The 20,361-nt window shown below is 36.4% G+C and overlaps 1 protein-coding gene, 1 long non-coding RNA gene and 1 pseudogene across 3 annotated transcripts in view; 2 read left to right on the plus strand and 1 right to left on the minus strand.

Annotated features, from left to right (window-relative positions):
- The window catches only part of SNX2 (sorting nexin 2), a 59,548-nt gene that overhangs the window by 9,159 nt on the left and 30,028 nt on the right, over nt 1-20,361 (plus strand). For both annotated transcript variants that reach the window (NM_001278199.1, NM_003100.4), the window contains exons 2-6: nt 11,112-11,229; nt 15,538-15,701; nt 17,715-17,781; nt 17,927-17,970; nt 19,318-19,459. In NM_001278199.1, the coding sequence (NP_001265128.1) occupies nt 15,663-15,701; nt 17,715-17,781; nt 17,927-17,970; nt 19,318-19,459 (292 nt within the window). In that variant the 5' untranslated portion in view covers nt 11,112-11,229; nt 15,538-15,662. The remainder of the gene's footprint in view (nt 1-11,111; nt 11,230-15,537; nt 15,702-17,714; nt 17,782-17,926; nt 17,971-19,317; nt 19,460-20,361) is intronic.
- Nucleotides 3,783-20,361, minus strand: part of LOC105379154 (uncharacterized) — a 57,613-nt gene continuing 41,034 nt past the window's right edge. Inside the window, exon 2 of the long non-coding RNA XR_007058917.1 lies at nt 3,783-5,452. This is a non-coding gene — a long non-coding RNA (uncharacterized LOC105379154). The remainder of the gene's footprint in view (nt 5,453-20,361) is intronic.
- On the plus strand, nt 11,934-12,073 carry LOC124901216 (uncharacterized; annotated as a pseudogene).

The following is a 20,361-nucleotide window of genomic DNA, read 5'->3' on the forward strand; positions in this document are numbered from 1 at the left end:
TAGATAATCATATTGTTTGTGATTGGAGTTTTATTTCCTTCTCTCAGTCTTTATACCTTTTTTTTTTTTCTCTTGTCCTAATGGCTGGGTAGGACCACCAGTATAATATTGAATAAAAGTGGTGATAGTGAATATTCTTTCCTTTTTCATGATCTCAGGATATAAGATGTTATCTGTAAGGTTTTTTGTTTTTTTTAATGAGCTTAATCAAATGAAGTTCTCCTCTGTTTCTAGTTTTCTGAGTTTTTATCCATGAACGGATGTTAATTTTGACAAATGCTTTTTCTGCATTCATTATGATAATCATATAGTTTTCTTCTTTAGTTTATTGATAAGTTAGATTATATTGATTTTTTTTTCTTTTTTTTTAAGCCCCACCCTCAGAATGATTTTCAAACTGATTCAAAAAAGTTGAATCAGCGTTGCATTCTTGGGATAAACCCCACACAATCATAATGTATTTATCCTTTTTATATATTGCTGGATGCAATTTGCTAGATTTTGTTTAGGCTTTTGTGTCTGTGTTCACGACAGATATTTGTGTTTTCTTTTTCATGTATCTTTGGTTTTCATATGAGAAATGCTAGCTTCGTTAAGTGATTTGGCGAGTGTTTCCTCTTATTTCATATTCTTGAAGAGGTTGTGTGGAATTAGTCTTACGTCTTCCCTAAATGTTGATAGAATTTACTAATGAAGTCATCTGAATTGTAGTTTTGTTTGTTGGAAGGCTTTTAACGACAAATTCAATTTTTTAAATACAGGACTGCTTCATGGTGAACTTTGGAAGTATGTATCTTTTAAGGAATTTATCCATTCAGTCTCAGTTGTGAAATTTATGGGCATACTGTTTTTTGTAGTACTTATCATCCTGTTAACATGTTTGTGGAGTCTGTGGATGGTAAACTTTTCTTTTTTTTCCTGATACTGGTAATTTACATCTTCTGTTTATTTATGTATTTTGATTTGGTAGAGGTTTGATATCCTCTTAGGATCTTCTCAAACAATTACCTTTTGCTTTCATTGATTTTTTTCCTCCTGTTGTTTCTGTTGTGAATTTCATTGATTTCTGCTCTGTTTTCTTTCTTCTGCTTGCTTTGTGTTTAATTTGCTCTTCTAGTTTTTTTTTGTTGTTGTTGTTAATTTTAGTTTTTATTTTTATTTTTATTTTTTTTGTAGAGACAGGGAGTCACACTATGTTGCCCAGGCTGCTCTTGAACTCCTGGCCCCAAGTGAGCCACTTACCTTGGCCTCCCAAAATGCTGGAATTACAAGTGTGAGCCACTGCACCGAGCCTGGTTTTCTAGTTTCTTATTAAAGTAGAAGCTTGGATCATTGATTTGAGACTTTTCTCCCTACTCTTGCTGTTTAGCTATGTATTTCCCTCTAAGCATGACTTTGGCTGCATTCCACAAATTTTGATAAATGTGGTTTTGTTTTCATTCAATTTAAAATAATTTCTAGTTTCTCTTGTGACCTCTTATTTGATCTATGAGTTATTTAGAAGTACATTATTTAATTTCCAAAATTTGAGGATATTCCAGATAGCTATTACTGATTTCTGGTTTCATTTGGTAATGGTAAGAGAATGTTTTATGCTTTCCATTTTTTTAATTTGTTAAAGTTTGTTTTATGGCCCAGAACATGTTCTATTATGCTAAGTGTTCTGTGTGCACTTTTGAAAAGAATGTATATATAGTCTGTTTTGTTGGGTGGAGTGTCGTACAAATGTTAGGTCAAGTTGGTTGATATTTTTCTGTCTTTCCCTGTTACCTATTTACTTGTTTTATCAATTACTGAGAGAAAAGTGTTGAAGTCTCCAAGATAATTGTATATTTTTAATTTTTATTTCTTGTTTTAGTTCACTTAGGTTTTCCTTTATGTATTTTGAAGCTATTTTGTTACATAGATGCTTAGGATTGTTTTGTCTTCTTGGTAAATTGACCCTTTTATCATATAATGTCCCTTTTTATTGATGATAATATTTCTTATTCTGAAGTTTACACCCTCTGATGTTTAGCACAACAGCTTTCTTGTAGATTGTCTGCATGACATATCTTTTTTATTGTTTTACTTTTAACTAATTTGTCTTTCAAGCAGGTTTTTTTTAGGCAACATGTGTGTAGTTATTTTTATATCCAGTCTAGCCATCTCTGTTTCCTAATGGGTATATTTAGGCTATTTATTTAATTATTGATGTGGCTAGATTAGATCTACCGTTTTATTTGCTTACTGTTTTTCTCTTCAGTTTTTTTCCTTTTCTCCTTTCTTGTGGATTACTTTATGTTTATTAGTATTTCATTTTATCTACTATGTATTTGTTTAATATCATTATATTTAAATATATATTTTAGTGGTTGCTCTGCAGCTTAAAATATACATACCTGAGTTAATATTATACTTCACGTAAAATGCCAAGCTTTACAACCACATAGGTTCATTTACCTTCCCTCCTTTACGCTTGGAAGTCATTGCTGCGCACACCAATAGCATAGTTTTGCAGTTGGCACCATCCTCAGGAAAAGTTAAGACAGAATAAAAAAAAAAATGGCAAAATGGATCCTTGTAAGGACGGGCCATTTTTTACATTTTGGCTCCCTCCTTAGTCGGCCTGCTATTTTTTATTTTTATATTGTTGCTTTTTGTATTCTATCCAGAACTTTTAGTGTCAGTCTGTTGGGGAGGGAGGCTTTAGTGGTCCTTGTTGATCTTGTTTGGAATCCAAAGTGCCACTTTTTAATTGAAGAGATACTAGCAAAAAAATCTTAAAATTTTTTATCCTGCATACTACCAGGTGATGGTGTGGGGGAATAAAGGAATATTCATTTATTAAGAATACAGATGTCTACTCAGTTGTATATCTTGGACAACTGTAGTTCTGATCATGAAGAACCTGTGTCACAGGCAGAGAAGCCATCAGTATTCTTTTCCACCATAACTTTCTCATTTGGCAGTCACTGTCCACACTCCTTTCCATCCACTAGAAAATAGCTCTTTTCCTATTTAGTAGGAACCTGGAAGAGGCATGGAGAGGCAGGACAAAGATAAGTAGGTTTTTGCAACCTTTAAAGATTAACAGCTCCCTTGGCTGGGTGTGGTGGCTCACGCCTGTAATCCTAGCACTTTGGGAGGCCAAAGCAGGTGGATCACTTGAGGTCAGGAGTTCGAGACCAGCCTAGCCAACATGGTGAAGCCCTGTCTCTACAAAAAATAAAAAAATTAGCTAGACATGGTGGTGCATGCCTGTAGTTCCAGCTATTTGGGAGGCTGAGGTAGGAGAATTGCTTGAACCTGAGAGGCAGAGGTTGCAGTGAGCCAAGATTGCACCACTGCACACCAGCCTGGGGGACAGAGCAAGACTGTCCCCCCCCAAAAAAAAAAGAAAGAAAGAAAAAGAGTGATAGCTCCCTGGCAGTTGAGCGGGGTACTCCAAGCTGCTGATGGTTGGACACCTGAAGGAAGTGGATTCCTCATAGCCTCTCCATAGTGATATGACTGCTCCCCAGCAGCCTCTACTTGAGTTGCCCACTGCCCCACATCATTCCCATTGTGCGGTCCACTCTTGGGCTCTGGACTATGAGGTGAAAAGGTTGTTTTTGTTATATAAACATGTTTGTTTTTCTTTCCTTGTTTCTGGTGTTAAAACTACGAGTACCCAAGGTATTAGCAATATGAACTTTCAGTTATGATAAGAATACATTATATGTTGCAAATAGTTTACATGTATTATAGCTGTATACTGTATTATAATCTTTACTTCAACAGTCATGTCTATTTTAAAGAACTTAAGAGGAAAAAATAATCTGTTTTATTTATTCAGATATTTACCATTTTTGTTGCTTTTCCTTTACCCAAGGTTTGCTCTTGTAATTTTTCTTTTTAGCATAAAGAATTTCCTTCAGCATTTCTTTTTGAGCAGATCTGTTGGTGATGAATATTCTTAATTTGTACTTCATCTGAAAACTTTATTTCACCTTCAATCCTGGAGGATATTTTCACTGTTCATAGGTTTCTGCATCAATAGGTCTTTCAACACTTTCAGAGTGTTATTCCACTGTTTTGTAGCCTTTGTGGTTTCTGATGAGAAATCCACAGTTGTTTGAATTGGTATTCCCCTGTAAAAATACGTTGTTTTTCTCTAGCTGCTTATATTTTTTCCCTATAGCTTCCATTTTCAGCAGTTTGAATCTAATGTGTGTAGGCATAGTATTCTTTGATTTTATCCTCAATGAGGTTTGCCAGGCTTCTTGAATCTGTAAGTTTATATCGTTCACCAAATTCTGGAAATTTCAGCTACTGTTTCTTTAAATACTTCTGCAGCAATCTTTCATCCTTCCTTCTGGAACATTTTGGTATTGTCCCATAGGTCCTTGAGGCTTTGTTCATTTTTTCAACTTCTTTTCTCAGGAGAAGTTATCTTTGTTATTCAGATCAGATATTTTCTATGGATTTATTTTCAGTTGCACTAACACTTTGCTCTTCAATAGCAATAACAACCCATTATTCTCTTTGGTAACAGCTCATTCTGTTATTGAGCTTATGTGAATGTTTTGTTTCAGGTAATTTTTTTTTCAGTTCTAACATTTTGTTTTCTTTCTTCTTTTTGTAGCAGCTTTCTTTTTTTGCAGCAGCTTCTGTTTCTTTGCTGAGAGCTGTCATTTCATTCACTTCAAATATGTTTACCTTTACTTCATACAACATAGTTAGAAATGCTTTTAAAAGTTTTAAAAAATAATGCATTCAACATCTGGGTTATTTCTAGGTTGACATCTGTTGACTGTCTTTTCTCTTATTTGGTCACATTTTTTGGACTCTTTATGACAAATAATTTTGGACTATATCTTAAACATCCCAAATGTTATATTGTGTAGGCTCTGCATCCTGTTATAATCCTCTGGAGACTATTGGGATTTTTTGTTTATTTTTTTGTTTGGTCAGGCAATCAATTTGCTTAGGTTCAGATTCCAAATTTCTGTTTTGCCTTCTGTGGGCAGTGGTTCTAATCTCAGTTCAGTTTTCAAAGCTTTTGCCTCTTCAGGTCTGTCTCATGCAGGCACCACTCAGGTCTTAGTCTGGGACTTTGACAGTGACCTAAGTATCAATTGAGTTTTCCAGTCTGTGAGAATTGCTGTGCTGTTTGGCTACACATGTGCTGCTCAGGGTTGACCCTGAGATTTGCACACATTCATTCACAGAATTAGGGGATCCCCTTCTCCAGTTTTTTCTCTGGGATTTTCCCCACATTCTTCAGTTTACAAGACCGCCCCACCTTCCCCACCACACACACACATACACACACACACACACACACAGACACACACGGACACACACACACACACACACACACACACACTCTTCCTCTAGCCCGAAAGATGAGGTTTCTTTTGGCGTTTTATCTACCCGTGCTGTAGCTCCTGTAGTGCAGCTCCATGCCTGGGACTTGCTTTCAGCAAATCTGCAAGAGAAAAGAGGGGGAAAAAAACAGGGATTTATTCATATACACATACTCCTTAGCTCATATGACCCCTTTGTCTGATTCATCTGGCCATAAAGATGAGATTTCTACCAGAGTTTAGCTGTCTCTGTCTCTATACCATTGCACAGGTCTGTGACTGAGGCCCACTTTCAGGACAAAACTATTAGAGAAAAGAGGAAAGGAATAGACTCTCTACCTTTTATGATCTGTCAGAATTTGTTTACTTTTTAGATTCCTCAAGTACCTTTTTAATTTTATCTATAGGCTTTAGTTATAATCAGAGAGAGAGGCTCTAGTTGGCTTACCACTTGTATGAGTTATCTGTTGCTGTGTAACGCATTAGCAACTTAAAATAATAAACATTATATCACAGTTTTTAAGGGTTGGAAATCCAAGAGCAGCTTAGCTAGCTAGGTATTCTCATCCAAGGTCTCTCATACAATTGTAGTCAGGATTTCAGCCAGTGCTGCAGTCATCTGACAGCTGAGGAGGATCCACTTTTTCTTTTTCTCAAAGAGTCTTACTCTGTTGCCCAGGTTGGAGTGCAGTGGTGCGATCTCAGCTCACTGCAACCTCCGCCTCCTGGGTTCAAGCTATCCTCCTGCTTCAGCCTCCCAAGTAGCTGGGACTACAGGTATGCGCCACTATGCCTGGCTAATTTTTTTGTATATTTAATAGAGACGGGGTTTCTCCATGTTGGCCAGGCTGGTCTTGAACTTCTGACCTCAGGTGATCCACCCACCTCAGCCTCCCAAAGTGCTGAGATTACAGGCGTGAGCCACCGTGCCTGGCCGAGGAGGATCCACTTCTAAGCTCACTCTCATGGCCATTAAGAGGAACCTTCATATCCTTGCCACGTGACCTCTCTATAGACTGCTCAGCATCTGACAACCCATTTTTCCCAATGAGTGGTCAAAGAGAAAGGGTAAGCACAAGACCAACCAAGATGGAAGCCACAGTCATTTATAACCTAATGTCAGAAGTGGGGGAGGAAGATAGTAAGACAGTTCACTTTGGTTGGGCAGAAAAAAAATGGTTTTGGGTTGTCGCAGCAGAAATACATATAAGTGAGAGAAAGGGTAGAAGATAGGGGAATTGGCTAGTTATGGAAGATTTGGGTGGTAAGAGAGAAGTAGGACTTTGGGAAAATATCTGGATTTCTGAATTGGGTCACCTACCAAGAAAAGCAGTTGTTCCTTCTTCCCAGTCTTTCTGCCTTTTACTTCCTTTTCTTGTCTTTTTGCATGCAGCTAGAACTTTCAGTATGATGTTGAAAAGAAGTGGTAAAAGGGGACAACCTTGTCTTGTTCCTGATCTTACTGGGGAAGCTTCAAATTTCTCACCATTAAGTATGATGTTAGTTGTAGGCTTTTTGTAGATATTCTTTATCAAGATATCCTCTATTACTAGCTTACTGAAAGTTTTTTATCATTAATAGATATTGGAGCCACTCTGCCATATTTTTAGGTGGATGCACTATAGGCTATTTCAATTTTTTTTTTTTTTTTTTTTTTGAGAGGAGTTTTGTTCTTGTTGCCCAGGCTAGAGTGCGATGGCATGATCTTGGCTCACCACAACCTCTGCCTCCCAGGTTCAAGCAATTCTCTTGCCTCAGCCTCCTGAATAGCTGGGATTACAGACATGCGCCACCATGCCCGGCTACTTTTTTTTTGAGATGGAGTCTTGCCCTGTCGCCCAGGCTGGAGTGTAGTGGTGCAGTATCAGCTCACTGCAGCCTCTGCCTCCCGGGTTCCAAAGATTCTCCTGCCTCAGCCTCCTGGGTAGCTGGGATTACAGGCGCCTGCCACCACGCCCGGCTAATTTTTGTATTTTTAGTAGAGACGGGGTTTCACCACATTGGCCAGGCTGGTCTCGAACTCTTGACCTCAAGTGGTACGCCTGCCTTGGCCTCCCAAAGTGCTGGGATTATAGGCATGGGCCACTGCGCCCAGCCTAATGTTGTATTTTTAGTAGAGACGAGATTTTTCCATGTTGGTCAGGCTGGTCTCGAACTCCTGACCTCAGGTGATCTGCCTGCCTTGGCCTCCCAGAGTGCTGGGATTACAGGCGTAAGCCACCGCGCCTGGCCCTCAATTTTTATAGTAATATAGAACATCTGATTGACAAACTTGTGGTTAATTCTTTGACATATCCATCATTATTTTCTTAAAACTCAGTTAAATGATAGTCATTGAGTGTTTTACTGCTAGATACTGAGTAAAGAGTAGTGAACAAGATGAGATACTCTTCCTTTCTATGTACAGCGTGCAGTCTATAAAACAGATAATACTTATAATGTGGTAAGAGAAATTATGACACAAGTAGGTACTCTATGGAAGTATATAGGCCAATCACCCAATCAGACTCTTCTAGAGTTACAGTTAAGGTTGTCAGGAGTACTTTCAGAGGAAATAATACACAAACTTGTTCTTTAAATTCCTTCAAGTGAAAGTTGCTAAGTTAAAGAGAGGCCCACTTTTGTGAGAATTTGGGACTTTAAGAATTAGTTCTCGAGAGAAAAGAAAGCCTCTTTAAATTTTCCTATAAGAGTTTGAAACTACTTTTGAATGTTCTAAAGAGATTTTTGTGCCATTGAGGGTAGTTTACTTAAAAAGCTGATGAGAAAATCTTATTAATTAGGAGTGGCATCAAAAGACTATTGATCCTACAAAATGCTTAGTAACTGTTGGGCGCAGTGGCTCACGCCTGTAATCCCAACACTTTGGGAGGCTGAGGCGGGTGGATCACCTGAGGTCAGGATTTCAAGATCAGCCTCACCAACATGGTGAAACCCCTTCTCTACTAAAAATACAAAAAAAATTAGCTGGGTGTGGTGGCGGGTGCCTGTGGTCCCGGCTACTTGGGAGGCTGAGGCAGGAGAATCGCTTGAACCCGGGAGGTGGAGGTTACAGTGAGCCGAGATCGTGCCATTGCACCCCAGCCTGGGCAACAAGAGTGAAACTTCATCTCAAAAAAAAAAAAAAAATTGCTTAGTAACTATACAAGAAAATATTGATACAATTTGCCTTTAATTAAGAAATTCCATTGCAAAATCTACCATTAAGAAAGTAAAAAGGTAAGCCAAAGATTGGGAGACTGAATTATTAATACATATCTGACAAAGAATTTTTATCCAGAATATATAAGGAACTTCTGCAAATCAATAGGAACAATAGAAAAATGAACAAAATATTTGAAGAGACTCTTCACAAAAGGATATCTAAATTCCCTTTAAACATATGAAAAATTGCTCACCATCATTACTTATCATGGAAATGCAAATTCAGAACACAATGATACATACTCTACATGCTAGAGTAGCGAAAGTGAAAAAAATGGAATATATCAAAATGTTGGCAAAGAATTGGAGCAACAAAGTTTCATATGCTGCTGGTGGGAGTGTAAAATTATACAACCACTTTAGAAGATAGTTTACTAATAACTTCTAAAGCTGAACATTCATCTACCCTGTGAGCCAGCTATTCCATTCTTAGGTTTATACAAACATTTGTTTACATGTTCACTAAAAGATGAACTAGAAAATTCATAGCAGCACTATTGATAGTATTAATAGTAAAAAATTGATAAACATCTAAGTGCTTATTAACACTAGAGTGGTTCAAGTATGGTATTCACACAATGAAATATTATACACTTATGATAATGAGTGGTCTACTACTACACAGAACAATATGGAAGAATCTTACATACATAGTAACATTAGGGCCAAAAACCAAACACAAAAAATAAGTACCATATGGCTCTATTTTATGAAGAGCAAAAATAGGAATAATTGATCCATACTGGTAGAAGCCCGCATGGTAAAGAATGGGAGGGAGCATAAGTGGAACTTCTAGGTTTGATGGTAATGGTCTTTCATGATCCAAGTGCATTTGCATAGGTATGTTGAGTTTTTGAAACTATCTAGCTGTACACTTTTGATATATACAGTTTTTTTGTGTTATACTTCAATAAAAAGGTTTTTAAAAGACCTAGTTTTGGCCAGGCACAGTGGCTCACGCCTATAATCCCAGCACTTTGGGAGGCCAAGGCGGGCGGATCACCTGAGGTCAGGAGTTCGAGACCAGCCTGGCCAACATGGTGAACCCCATCTCTACTAAAAATACAAAAAAAAATTAGCTGGGCGTGATGGCAGACACCTGTAATCCCAGCTACTCAGGAGGCTGAGGCAGAAGAATCGCTTGAACCCGGGAAGCAGAGGTTGCAGTGAGCTGAGATCACGCCATTGCACTCCAGCCTGGGCAAGAAGAGCAAAATTCTGTCCCCCCAAAAAAAAAAAAAAAGACCTGGTTTTAACTATTGTAATACGAAAACCATAATAAAGATAAAAGCTACACAATCTAGGTTTCATTGTGTTACTCATTATACGTTAGGGTTAAAGAAGTACAAGAGTGGCTCATTCCTGTGATCCCAGCACTTTGGGAGGCTGAGGCGGGTGGATCACCTGAGGTCAGGAGTTCGAGACCAGCCTGACCAACATGGTGAAACCCTGTCTCTACTAAAAATACAAAAATTAGCCGGGCATGGTGGTGCATGCCTGTAATCCCAGTTATTTGGGAGGCTGAGGCAGGAGAATCACTTGAACCCAGGAGGTGGAGGTTGCAGTGAGCCAAGATTGCACCATTGCACTCCAGCCTGGGCAATAGAATGAGACTGTGTCTCAAAACAAACAAACAAACAAAAAAAACAAGAATAGTCATTAGCTTAGATGAAATATAAATGTCTTGAGAGGTCACATTTTTAGTTTGAAGCGATAGAAATTTTAGAATAATTGGTCTTAATTCAACTAGTAGTAAGTTTTCCTCTTACAGTAAAACAGTGCTTTGAACTTCTTGGACATGCAACATGTTTTCAGGATCTGTTGAGTCACGTGGAATTTTGGTGTTTGGGCATATCTGCCCCCACCAGGAAAAACAAACAAACAAACATGGCAATAACAAAAACAAAATTAGGGATTTTTGAAAATCAAGGACATGATGTCGTTTTGGTTCTATTGTATATGACTGTAAAATATTAAATTTGGTTTTTGTTAATTATAACTCAGTATGACAAACTAGTACCTCCAAAAAGGATGACTAGAAAAGGTTTTCTGGCCAGGGGTGTTGGCACACACCTGTAATCCCAGCACTTTGGGAGGCTGAAGTGGGAGGATCACTTGAACTCAGGAGTTCAAGCTGGGCAACATGGTGAAACCCCATCTCTACAAAAAATAAATAAATAAATAAATAACCAGGTGTGGTGACGTGCATTTTTAGTCCCAGCTACCCTGGAGGCTGAGGTGGAAGGATCATTTGAGCCTGGGAGGTCAAGGCTGCAGTGAACCAAGCTCACATCGCTACACTCCAGCCTGGGCCATAGAGTGAGACCCTGTCTCAAAAATAAAAAGAAAAAAAAGGTTTTCTTTTTTAAATCTTAAGTGACTTTTTGTTAAGAAAGATGATGAGTTAAAAGTGTGTTATTAGTTCATTCTTACTCTCAGAGGAGGATATATAAATAGCTGTTCTTGTTCTTTCCTCCATTCTTTTCAAGAGAATGTTCTATTTCTGTAGTACATGGTGACAGAATTACAACAGGTAAACATGCCAATCCATTACCTATTATTGTTCTTTTTTAACAGTCAAGTCCATCATCTCCAGAACCAGCTAGTCTTCCTGCAGAAGATATTAGTGCAAACTCCAATGGCCCAAAACCCACAGAAGTTGTATTAGATGATGACAGAGAAGATCTTTTTGCAGGTAATTGTCATGTATTTATTTTTTAATAATGGTCAATTGCAGTATATTTTCTATTAGATAGAAAATATCTAAAACAAAACTGAAATTCTGTGTAAAGTGTTAGTGGCAGCTCTTGTAACAACTTAGAAGGATGGGGAATTTCCAGTCACATCACTCTATGAAAAATGTGGACTGTCCAGAGAAGCAAAAATGTGGTTCTTTCTGGCTGTAAGCATTTGAGAATAAATTGTATATTATAATTTGATTGGGGGCAGTATTTAGATGCAAAAGACTAATCATTGTGATGTTCATACTTTGAGAAATAGCAGTGATTATACCTTTTTATTGCTTAGAAGTTGTCCCAAAGCAAAATTAAACTATGGATTTAAAAATTATTCTATATTTATGTTTGAAAGCTGTTTTAATAAATTGCTGTACTATTTACCATCTGTTCCATTTGACCCACTTTTAGGTGAATAAATTGATGCTTAAGGAATTTGTTTTTGATACAGGGGCAGGATTTGGTGTAGTTCATCCTAACTTAAGAAGGACTCTGTTTAACAATTATCTGCTTTAAAATTAAAATTAATGTTTTAATATTAAAAAGCAACATCTTCCTTAAAATTAATGACACAAAAAATGAAAATGGTAAATTTTATTTTGTGTGTTTAATAGCCTAATTTACCTGAACTGGCTTTCATTGAGTTAAAACTTAATATGGATGGATTCTTTTGTGGCTCATAAGCTTGGGATTTTCACACTAAACATTTTTAACTCATGAGGTTGGGACTTCACATTAATCTCTAATCTTTGAGATTGCCTCCCTCAAACCTTGCTACAGTATTGGCACATTACCCATCTCACATGAAAAAGGAAAAAGAAAAAAAGATAAAAAATGAATAATTATGTTCTCATCTTTCATAGTGGTTCAATATTCAAACCATTCTGTGTTTTTGTACAAACATGTTTGAAGACAGCAATCCTCCATCACAAAACTCCATATAATTTACACCTTGATTCATTCCATGAGAAGTTGTCACTGGAGATGAATTCACATATTTTATTATGTCACAAAATTAAAAATATGATACCAAATACCAATCATCTTCTCTTTAAAATTTTAAGCCACCTAACAACTTAGAGTCAAAATCACCGTTAACCAAAGTTGTAATATTTCAGTATTTGTTATTGTGTCCTTTCATGGACTTTTTTCCAGGCAATCTTTCAAAGTTGTTTCATGGTATTTGTATCTTATGCTAAAAGATGACACAAGTTCTTTCTCTACTTAACAAGTACTAATCTAAAATTCTGTGTATTCCTTTAATGGTATAGGGTCATACATAGAGGTTTTAAATTATCCATTTTTTTAAAGACTCCTTCACCCTATAGTCTCAGATTTCTATGTAGATGAGTATGTTTAAACCTTACTGTAACAACAGAACTGTGTCTGTGTGTGTTTGTGTACATGCAAGGTTTTTTTTTTCTTAACAGTATGCACAGCTGATCAAAGAGTTAGCCAAGTGAGGACTATACAATGATATTTGCCCACTTAGCTTGGTTAGAAAAAAAATTAAAAACAGTTTTTAGACAGGTCTCACTCTGTCACCCAAGCTGGAGTATAGCCATGCCATCATAGCTCACAGCAGCTTTGAACTCTTGGGCACAAATAATTCTCCAACCCTTGCTTCTCAAGTAGCTAAGACTTCAGACATGTGCCACTATACCTGGCTAATTTATTCATGTTTTGTTGAGATGGGATCTTGCTATGTTGCCCAGGCTGGTCTTGAACTCCTGGCCTCAAACAGTCCTCCCACCTGGGTCTCCCAAAGTATTGGGATTACAGGCGTGAGCCACTGAGCCCAGCCAGAAAAATCTTCATAGTGTTTTATTCTACCTAGCAGTCTATACTAAATTCTGTGAATCAAATATGGTGAATATCAGTGTTTGTTTTAAAAAAAGAGAGAGATGGGAACTAAAGAACAATAAACATAGTCATCTGTCTCCTTTGTTAACCCAAAAATAGAAACATTTTTTATGCTTTAGCTTTCATCTTAAACTCAGCTGTATTTCATAATGACATCATTAAGTGACTGAAGACCTAATCTGATCATTTTTGTATGAATGAATGAGTATTACACTTGGTTCTTATTTATAATACATTTTAACAGGTGTAGCATTCCTCCTTCTATGGAGGAGTATGGTTCTAGGAAACTATAATAGGGAGCAGCGTATGTTACTGGGATGGTGAAAACTATTGTCCAGTAATGAGAAACCTATACTCGATTTGTCCCTCCTATACCAGAGGAGAGAATATAGATATTGCTGTAGTGACATTGACATAATCAGTTCATACATGTCTCAAAGTATGTCTCCAAGGAAAAATTAATCTTTACAGTTAGCACCTATGAAGCATCTTCCTGAACCTTTAGGTCTGCTTTAAATTAAACCTTATGAATTTGTAATATATTGGTTTACTTAAGCTAAAAGGTGTCATGAAGAAAATTTAAGACAGATTATATATATATGTTGAATCTAAATCCTACAATTTTTGAATGAAGCAGCCTGTTAGTGTAAATAACACAAAACTCAGTATCAGTAAAGTAAAATGTGATTAAAAAGTTTAAATGACTTTATCTGTACTGATTTCTTAATAAAGTTACTATCTCTCACAATATTTTGCCTGTGAGTCTGTTGCCAAAGAACAGTGCCTCTTTCAGATTCTGGGGTTTTTGTTTTGTTTGGTGCTTGTTGTTTTGCTTATTGTTGTAAATATCTCACACTTGTAGCTTTGATATACTGCTTTTTTTTTACTTTATCATATTACTCATTGGTTTCATTTCTTTACAAAAAGAGTAATAAATACCAGCAATCATCACAGCCTGAATTGCATATAAGCTTTTATTTTGTTACGGTAGGCTTATCTATAGCCTGTTTCAACATATATAGTCCATTTTCCTTCCTCTGGTTACCACAGTTTGAAAGATTTTTAGTTATTGATCATTTTCGCTTTTAATATGAAAAAGTGAAGAGATCATCTATACCAAGTAAGGATCTCATCAACATGAGATAACCAGTAAGAATAGCTTGATAAAATGTTGACGTGTATAACCTTATTTCAGGTAAATATGCTATTACTGCTATACCTTGAGGTATTAAAATTAAAATGGTTCACTGACTATCATTACCACCATCTTGAACCTCTAAGAATCTAAGGACCTCAGGTTAGAAACCACTGGCCTGGTCCTGTGTTTTCCTTGAGGTCCTGCCTTCCTTTCCTAGTATCAGTTCTACAGACTAGCAAAGTTGTAGTTTACATTATGGCCACCACTTGTGATTTTCCCTTTCCTGGCTCTGCTTTTTGCATATGCTATTATTCCATTATCATGGAATTCTTTCTTCATTTTTTCTCTACCCATTTCAGTCTTCTCAGATCCATTTTGTAAACTGTTCCTGATTTTTGTCTCCCAGCTCAACTCAAATTGTAGTGTTTGTTCTGTAGCTCATGTAGCAATTAAATGTCTTGTAACATTCTTTTCATTGTTTGCCTGGGTATTATTTAAGTCTTTTATTATTATTTAACATCCCACATGCTTTTGTCTTGTTTTCCCCAACTAAATTATAAACTCTCTGAGGGCAGGTATGATATTTTACATTTTTGTGTGTTTTTCTGTTGCACTTAGCACAATGTTATGTAGCCTGTAGACATTCAGTTTATTGATTTGGTTTGATTTTTTAAAATTATTAGTATTAGATTTTTCAAGTGAGTGGGCATTTTAATTTAAAACCTAAACACCTATTTGTTTTGTGTCATATTTGTGTATCCAACTAATTAATATCCAGTAATCTTTACCAATTAATTGCTTTATATTACTAACTTTGTAGCTTTTCCTAACCAGTTTTTAATCCAAGTTAAAATAGTTGTGGACAGACTTCCACCATAAAATTTGTCTTTATATGTATAAAATAATCATAATATTAGTGTAAATAAATATTTGAAAGGTAAGTTACCACAAGTATAAGTTGTTACAAATCCAAACATGAATGTGGAATCATCTGCATCATTGCTTTTCTTTCAGCCTGATCCCTACCACTAGTATAATTAAGCTAACTTAATAGGATTCTTTCTAAAATCAACAAAGTTACAGTTAGTTTTAAAGTTGTGATAAATAAGGATGCATAAAATTCCTTTGTGATAATTATTTTTAAATGACATTATTTTTATATTTGTGGGTAATATAAAAATATTTTTTATAATCCATTAACTGCTATGTAGAATATTGGGGGTTTGCTTGCCAGTGTTCTTAACTAACTTGTTTAATCTATGTCTAGAAGCCACAGAAGAAGTTTCTTTGGACAGCCCTGAAAGGGAACCTATCCTATCCTCGGAACCTTCTCCTGCAGTCACACCTGTCACTCCTACTACACTCATTGCTCCTAGAATTGAATCAAAGAGTATGTCTGCTCCCGTGATCTTTGATAGATCCAGGGAAGAGGTACAGGAAAATGTATTCTAAATTAATATGTAAATATATACCTTTTTTCCCCACCCAACATCACTCTGCTGTTAGTCATTTCTAATCAAAGCCTTTTAGACATTTTGGGAAAAGAATATTGGACTAAATTAGTTATGGGATCTGGCTTCTATCTTCCCCACTCTACCCAGTGACCTGGGCATATCATTTACCTTGTTAAGTGAAGGAGTTTGTCATTTCTGATTTTATGATAATAGTGTGCATTTCCTAGGGTTTCTCTGTTGGTCAGATGATATATAAAAGTGCTTTGAAAACTTAATCACAATAAAGTGATATTTTGAGTAAATTTATTTGATAAAATTTGTAATAAATACTGTTAATACTTAAAGGTTGATATTGAAAAAGAAGGGAGGATGTATATCAGTTAAAGGTACATTCTCATGATTTGGCAGTAATTTCTGACAAGGTGAATTTGGAAAAGAAAAATTATACAGAGATTATTTTAATGGCAAAATTATGTATTTAAAAGTCATTCATGGAAATATGTCGTTAAAATGACCATGATTAAGTAACAACCACATAAAAAATATAAACAATCTCGCAAACATAATATTAAGGGAAATAAGTAAGACATAAAAGAATACTTACATAATTCTAATATATGAACTTTAAAAACAGATAAAAGTAAAGTACAGGGCTAGATGTCAGGGTAGTGGTTATGTTGGCAGGTAAAGAATGGGTAGTAACTGGAGGGGAAGCAAAAGAGGGCCTCCTGAGCTGTAGTGATGATGCTTATTTCTGATTTAGGTTCTGATTACAAACGTGTTCACTTTGTAAAGGTTTATTGAACTGTACACTTAAAATTTATATACTTTTTATGTAATGATTTTTAAAAGTTTTACTTTAAAAATATCTGTACAAGAAGACAACCTTGAAATAAAACAATTATGGTTCAAAACACTTTGCATTTAGATAGTGTTAGACTATTAATAATTGCCTTGAAAATTTTGCAAAGTTGAATAATCTCTGAACTTTGTGCTTGAGAATAACAAAGCTTTCCTGCAGAGCTAATGTTTGGATTGCTTATTTTTAATGGCATTTACAAGGGCTTCTCTGAAGTCTCGACATAGGGTTGTCATTTTTCCCACTTACTGCTTTTTCACTGAGGTTTATAGTGCTTTCCTTCGCGTCCAGAAGAACGTGTTTATTAGATAATTAGAGAAATCTTGATACTAAAGTTGCTTTTCAGTATAATCACTTCTGCTGGTAAGTAAGGTTCTACTGGTAAAAGTAATGACTACCTACCTCCTTGGTATTAAAGGGTAGAGAGAGAACTTTGAAAAATGCTAGTATTAAAATTAATTAAGGAGGTAATTTTTTAATAATCTGAATCTGAAGATTCAGTATATAGAACAAAAAATTCCACAATATTTGTACAAAAAGACGAAAACATTTTTTCTACATCTGAGGAATTAACATGAGATTTTGGGCTGGGCGCAGTGGTTCACGCCTGTAATCCCAGCACTTTGGGAGACCGAGGTGGGCAGATCACCTGAGGTCAGGAGTTCAAAACCAGCCTGGCCAACATGGTGAAACCCCGTCTCTAGTAAAAATACAAAAATCACCTGGGTGTGGTGGCAGACACCTGTAATCCCAGCTACTTGAGAGGCCAAGGCATGAGAATTGCTTGAACCCAGGAGGTGGAGGTTGCAGTGAGCTGAGATTGAGCCACTGCACTCCTGCCTGGGCAGCAGAGCAAGACTCTATCTTTAAAAAAAAAAAAAAAAAAAATTGTTACTTCTCCAAATGGTCTTTTTCGTGTGTGTGTGTGTGTGTGTGTGTGTGTGTGTGTGTGTTTTATTTATAAAGTCAGGAAATGTGAAAGTTTTTATTGTTTTTCAAAAATGAAGTGCTGGGTGGCTAAATTATTTGTTGTGACAGTGACTCTTACAGAAAATAGATGATAAAAATTAGTGTCATGACAATAATTTAAATTATAATTTTTAATGCCAAAAAATAATTTATACTTTCTAGATTGAAGAAGAAGCAAATGGAGACATTTTTGACATAGAAATTGGTGTATCAGATCCAGAAAAAGTTGGTGAGTCAATACTTATTATATTTTGTATTTACTTTTTATTAGTTTGTTGGTTTTGTATGGTTTTTCTTCATACATCAATATAGTATTAAATGAGTTTTATTTTTATGCATGTGATTTTAATAGTAGTGTTTGACTTTTTTTGCAGGTGATGGCATGAATGCCTATATGGCATATAGAGTAACAACAAAGGTGAGCTTTTTGTGCTTTTAAAAAAACTATCGAGCCCTCATTATGTGTAGTATGAGGATATGGCTATGATTAAGGTAGAAGTGATCCCTGTCTTTATAAAGGTTACCACCTAATAAAGATTGCCAAGAAGTAGGTGCAATGAGTTGTGAGTGGTTTGATATGTAGTGTTCAGTGAGAGTATGCAGGATGGGACCTGATTTAGACCTCTGGATGCCTAAGCCAAGACATAGGTGAGGGAAATGATGGGGAGGAGGGGGGGAAGAAGAAGAATGCTTGTGCCAGGTGAGGAATTTGCTTGTGCAAAAGCCAAAAGTGAAGAAAGCATTGTGCTTTCTAGAATCTCCAAGAAGTGATGCATGATTGAAACGTTTGGCAGTAAGCCTTTGTGTATTATGAGCAGCCACATTTTAAGGAGTTTGGCTTCATGCTGAGTATAATGGAGAGCCATTAAAGAAGTTCAAAGAAGAGTGTGGCACAAGTAGGTTTTTGTTTTAGAAATATTTCTTTGGCCTCAGTATGAATTGGGAGGGTCAAAGTAGAGGTCAGGATTTCCAGTTAAAGGGACACTGCAATGATTAAAGGATTGTATGCCTTTAAATATTAAAAGAGCATGTCTGTCACAGCAGTTCTAGCTGTAAGCAGTAATACTTTATACTAAGAAAATGGTTCTGGAGATGAGCAAAATAAGTGGCTTCTTGAGTTATGTAGGCGGTAGAATTGACAGGACTTGGATGTAATGGGTGAGGAAGGAGAAGGATGCCTAGGTTATTGACTAGAGGGACTTTGCAGCTGTGAGAGTGATCCATGGAGAAAGGCAACACGGGCAGGAACACAGTGAGGATGAGGATGACAGTTGTTAATTCATTGGATAAATATTCATTAAACACCTACCATGGTGTCAAGCTTTGTTGCAAGCCCTGGGGTATAGTAGTAAACAATACAGACAAGGGTGGCATCTTATAGAACTTATGTTCCAGCAGGGGGAAATAGGGTAAGTTTGAAGTGCTGGTGAGATTTAAGTGGAGGGGTATTTGGATATATTGGACTGAAGCTTTGTAAGATATCTGGGCCAGATGTAAAGATTTAAGAATTATTAGCGTAAATAGAGTGAATAAGACCAGTTAAGATAGAATAATGCAAATACTTTTTTGTCCTATTAAGATTCTGTAAAATACATCTATGGTTTAGGTTTTTTTTTTAGTTAGAAACCTATATACCACATTAGTTAGATACTCTGCATTCTTTTGCAAAGTAGATACATGTATGTGTTCACAATTATGTATAACATTAACTTGTGGAATAATTGCTTGCTATTCAAAATTTGAAACACCTCTTCTTCACTTGTAGACATCTCTTTCCATGTTCAGTAAGAGTGAATTTTCAGTGAAAAGAAGATTCAGCGACTTTCTTGGTTTGCACAGCAAATTAGCAAGCAAATATTTACATGTTGGTTATATTGTGCCACCAGCTCCAGAAAAGAGTATAGTAGGTAAGCACAAATTTTTCAAAAATTAATTTTTGTTACTGTTACTAGTTCAGTTTTAACTGTATAGATTTGTGGATTTCTTAGTCATTCACTGTCAACATTTTATAATGTGTAGACATAACTGAATTTAAGTATTTCATTTATACTAATCATGCATGGATTGAAGAATGTATTGGTAATAGTTTTATTTTCTAACACTTGAGGATTTTTGTTTATGTAATACAGTAATGTTAAATATTGGGTAGAGGCCGTGTGTGGTGGCTCACACCTGTAATTCCAGCACTTAGGGAGGCCAGGGTAGGAAGATCACTTGAGGTTAGGAGTTCAAGACCAGCCTAGCCAACATGGTGAAACCCCTGTCTCTAGTAAAATACAAAAAGTAGCCAGGCATGGTGGCACGTGCCTGTAATTCCAGCTACTCGGTGGGCTGAGGCAGGAGAATCACTTGAACTCAGAAGGCGGAGGTTGCAGTGAGCTGAGATCACGCCTGGGCAACAGAGTGAGACTCCGTCTCAAAAAAAAAATTGGGTTGAAATTTATGAAGTTAAAAGCAGTTGGAAGCCCTAACCTTTTAGGGTCACTAGATTACCATTTTACTGAGTCACAATCAGAGAATACTTAATATTATTAATATGTTAACATTTTTCTAAGGGATGGAGGTGTTAGACCCTCACTAGCCTTGGCTCATATAAGAGCTATTTAAATTCATCTTAGTTCATTTCGTACCTCAATTTAAAGTTTAAAAACATTTCTACTTTTTTTTTTTTTTTTTTGAGATGGAGTCTCACTCTGTCATCCAGGCTGGAGTGCAGTGGTGCAATCTTGGCTCACTGCAACCTCCGCCTCCTGGGTTTAAGTGATTCCCCTGCCCCAGCCTTCCGAGTAGCTAGGACTGCAGGCACACA

The sequence above is a fragment of the Homo sapiens genome, chromosome 5 (genome assembly GCF_000001405.40).
Source record: "Homo sapiens chromosome 5, GRCh38.p14 Primary Assembly".
Classification (NCBI taxonomy): domain Eukaryota; kingdom Metazoa; phylum Chordata; class Mammalia; order Primates; family Hominidae; genus Homo; species Homo sapiens.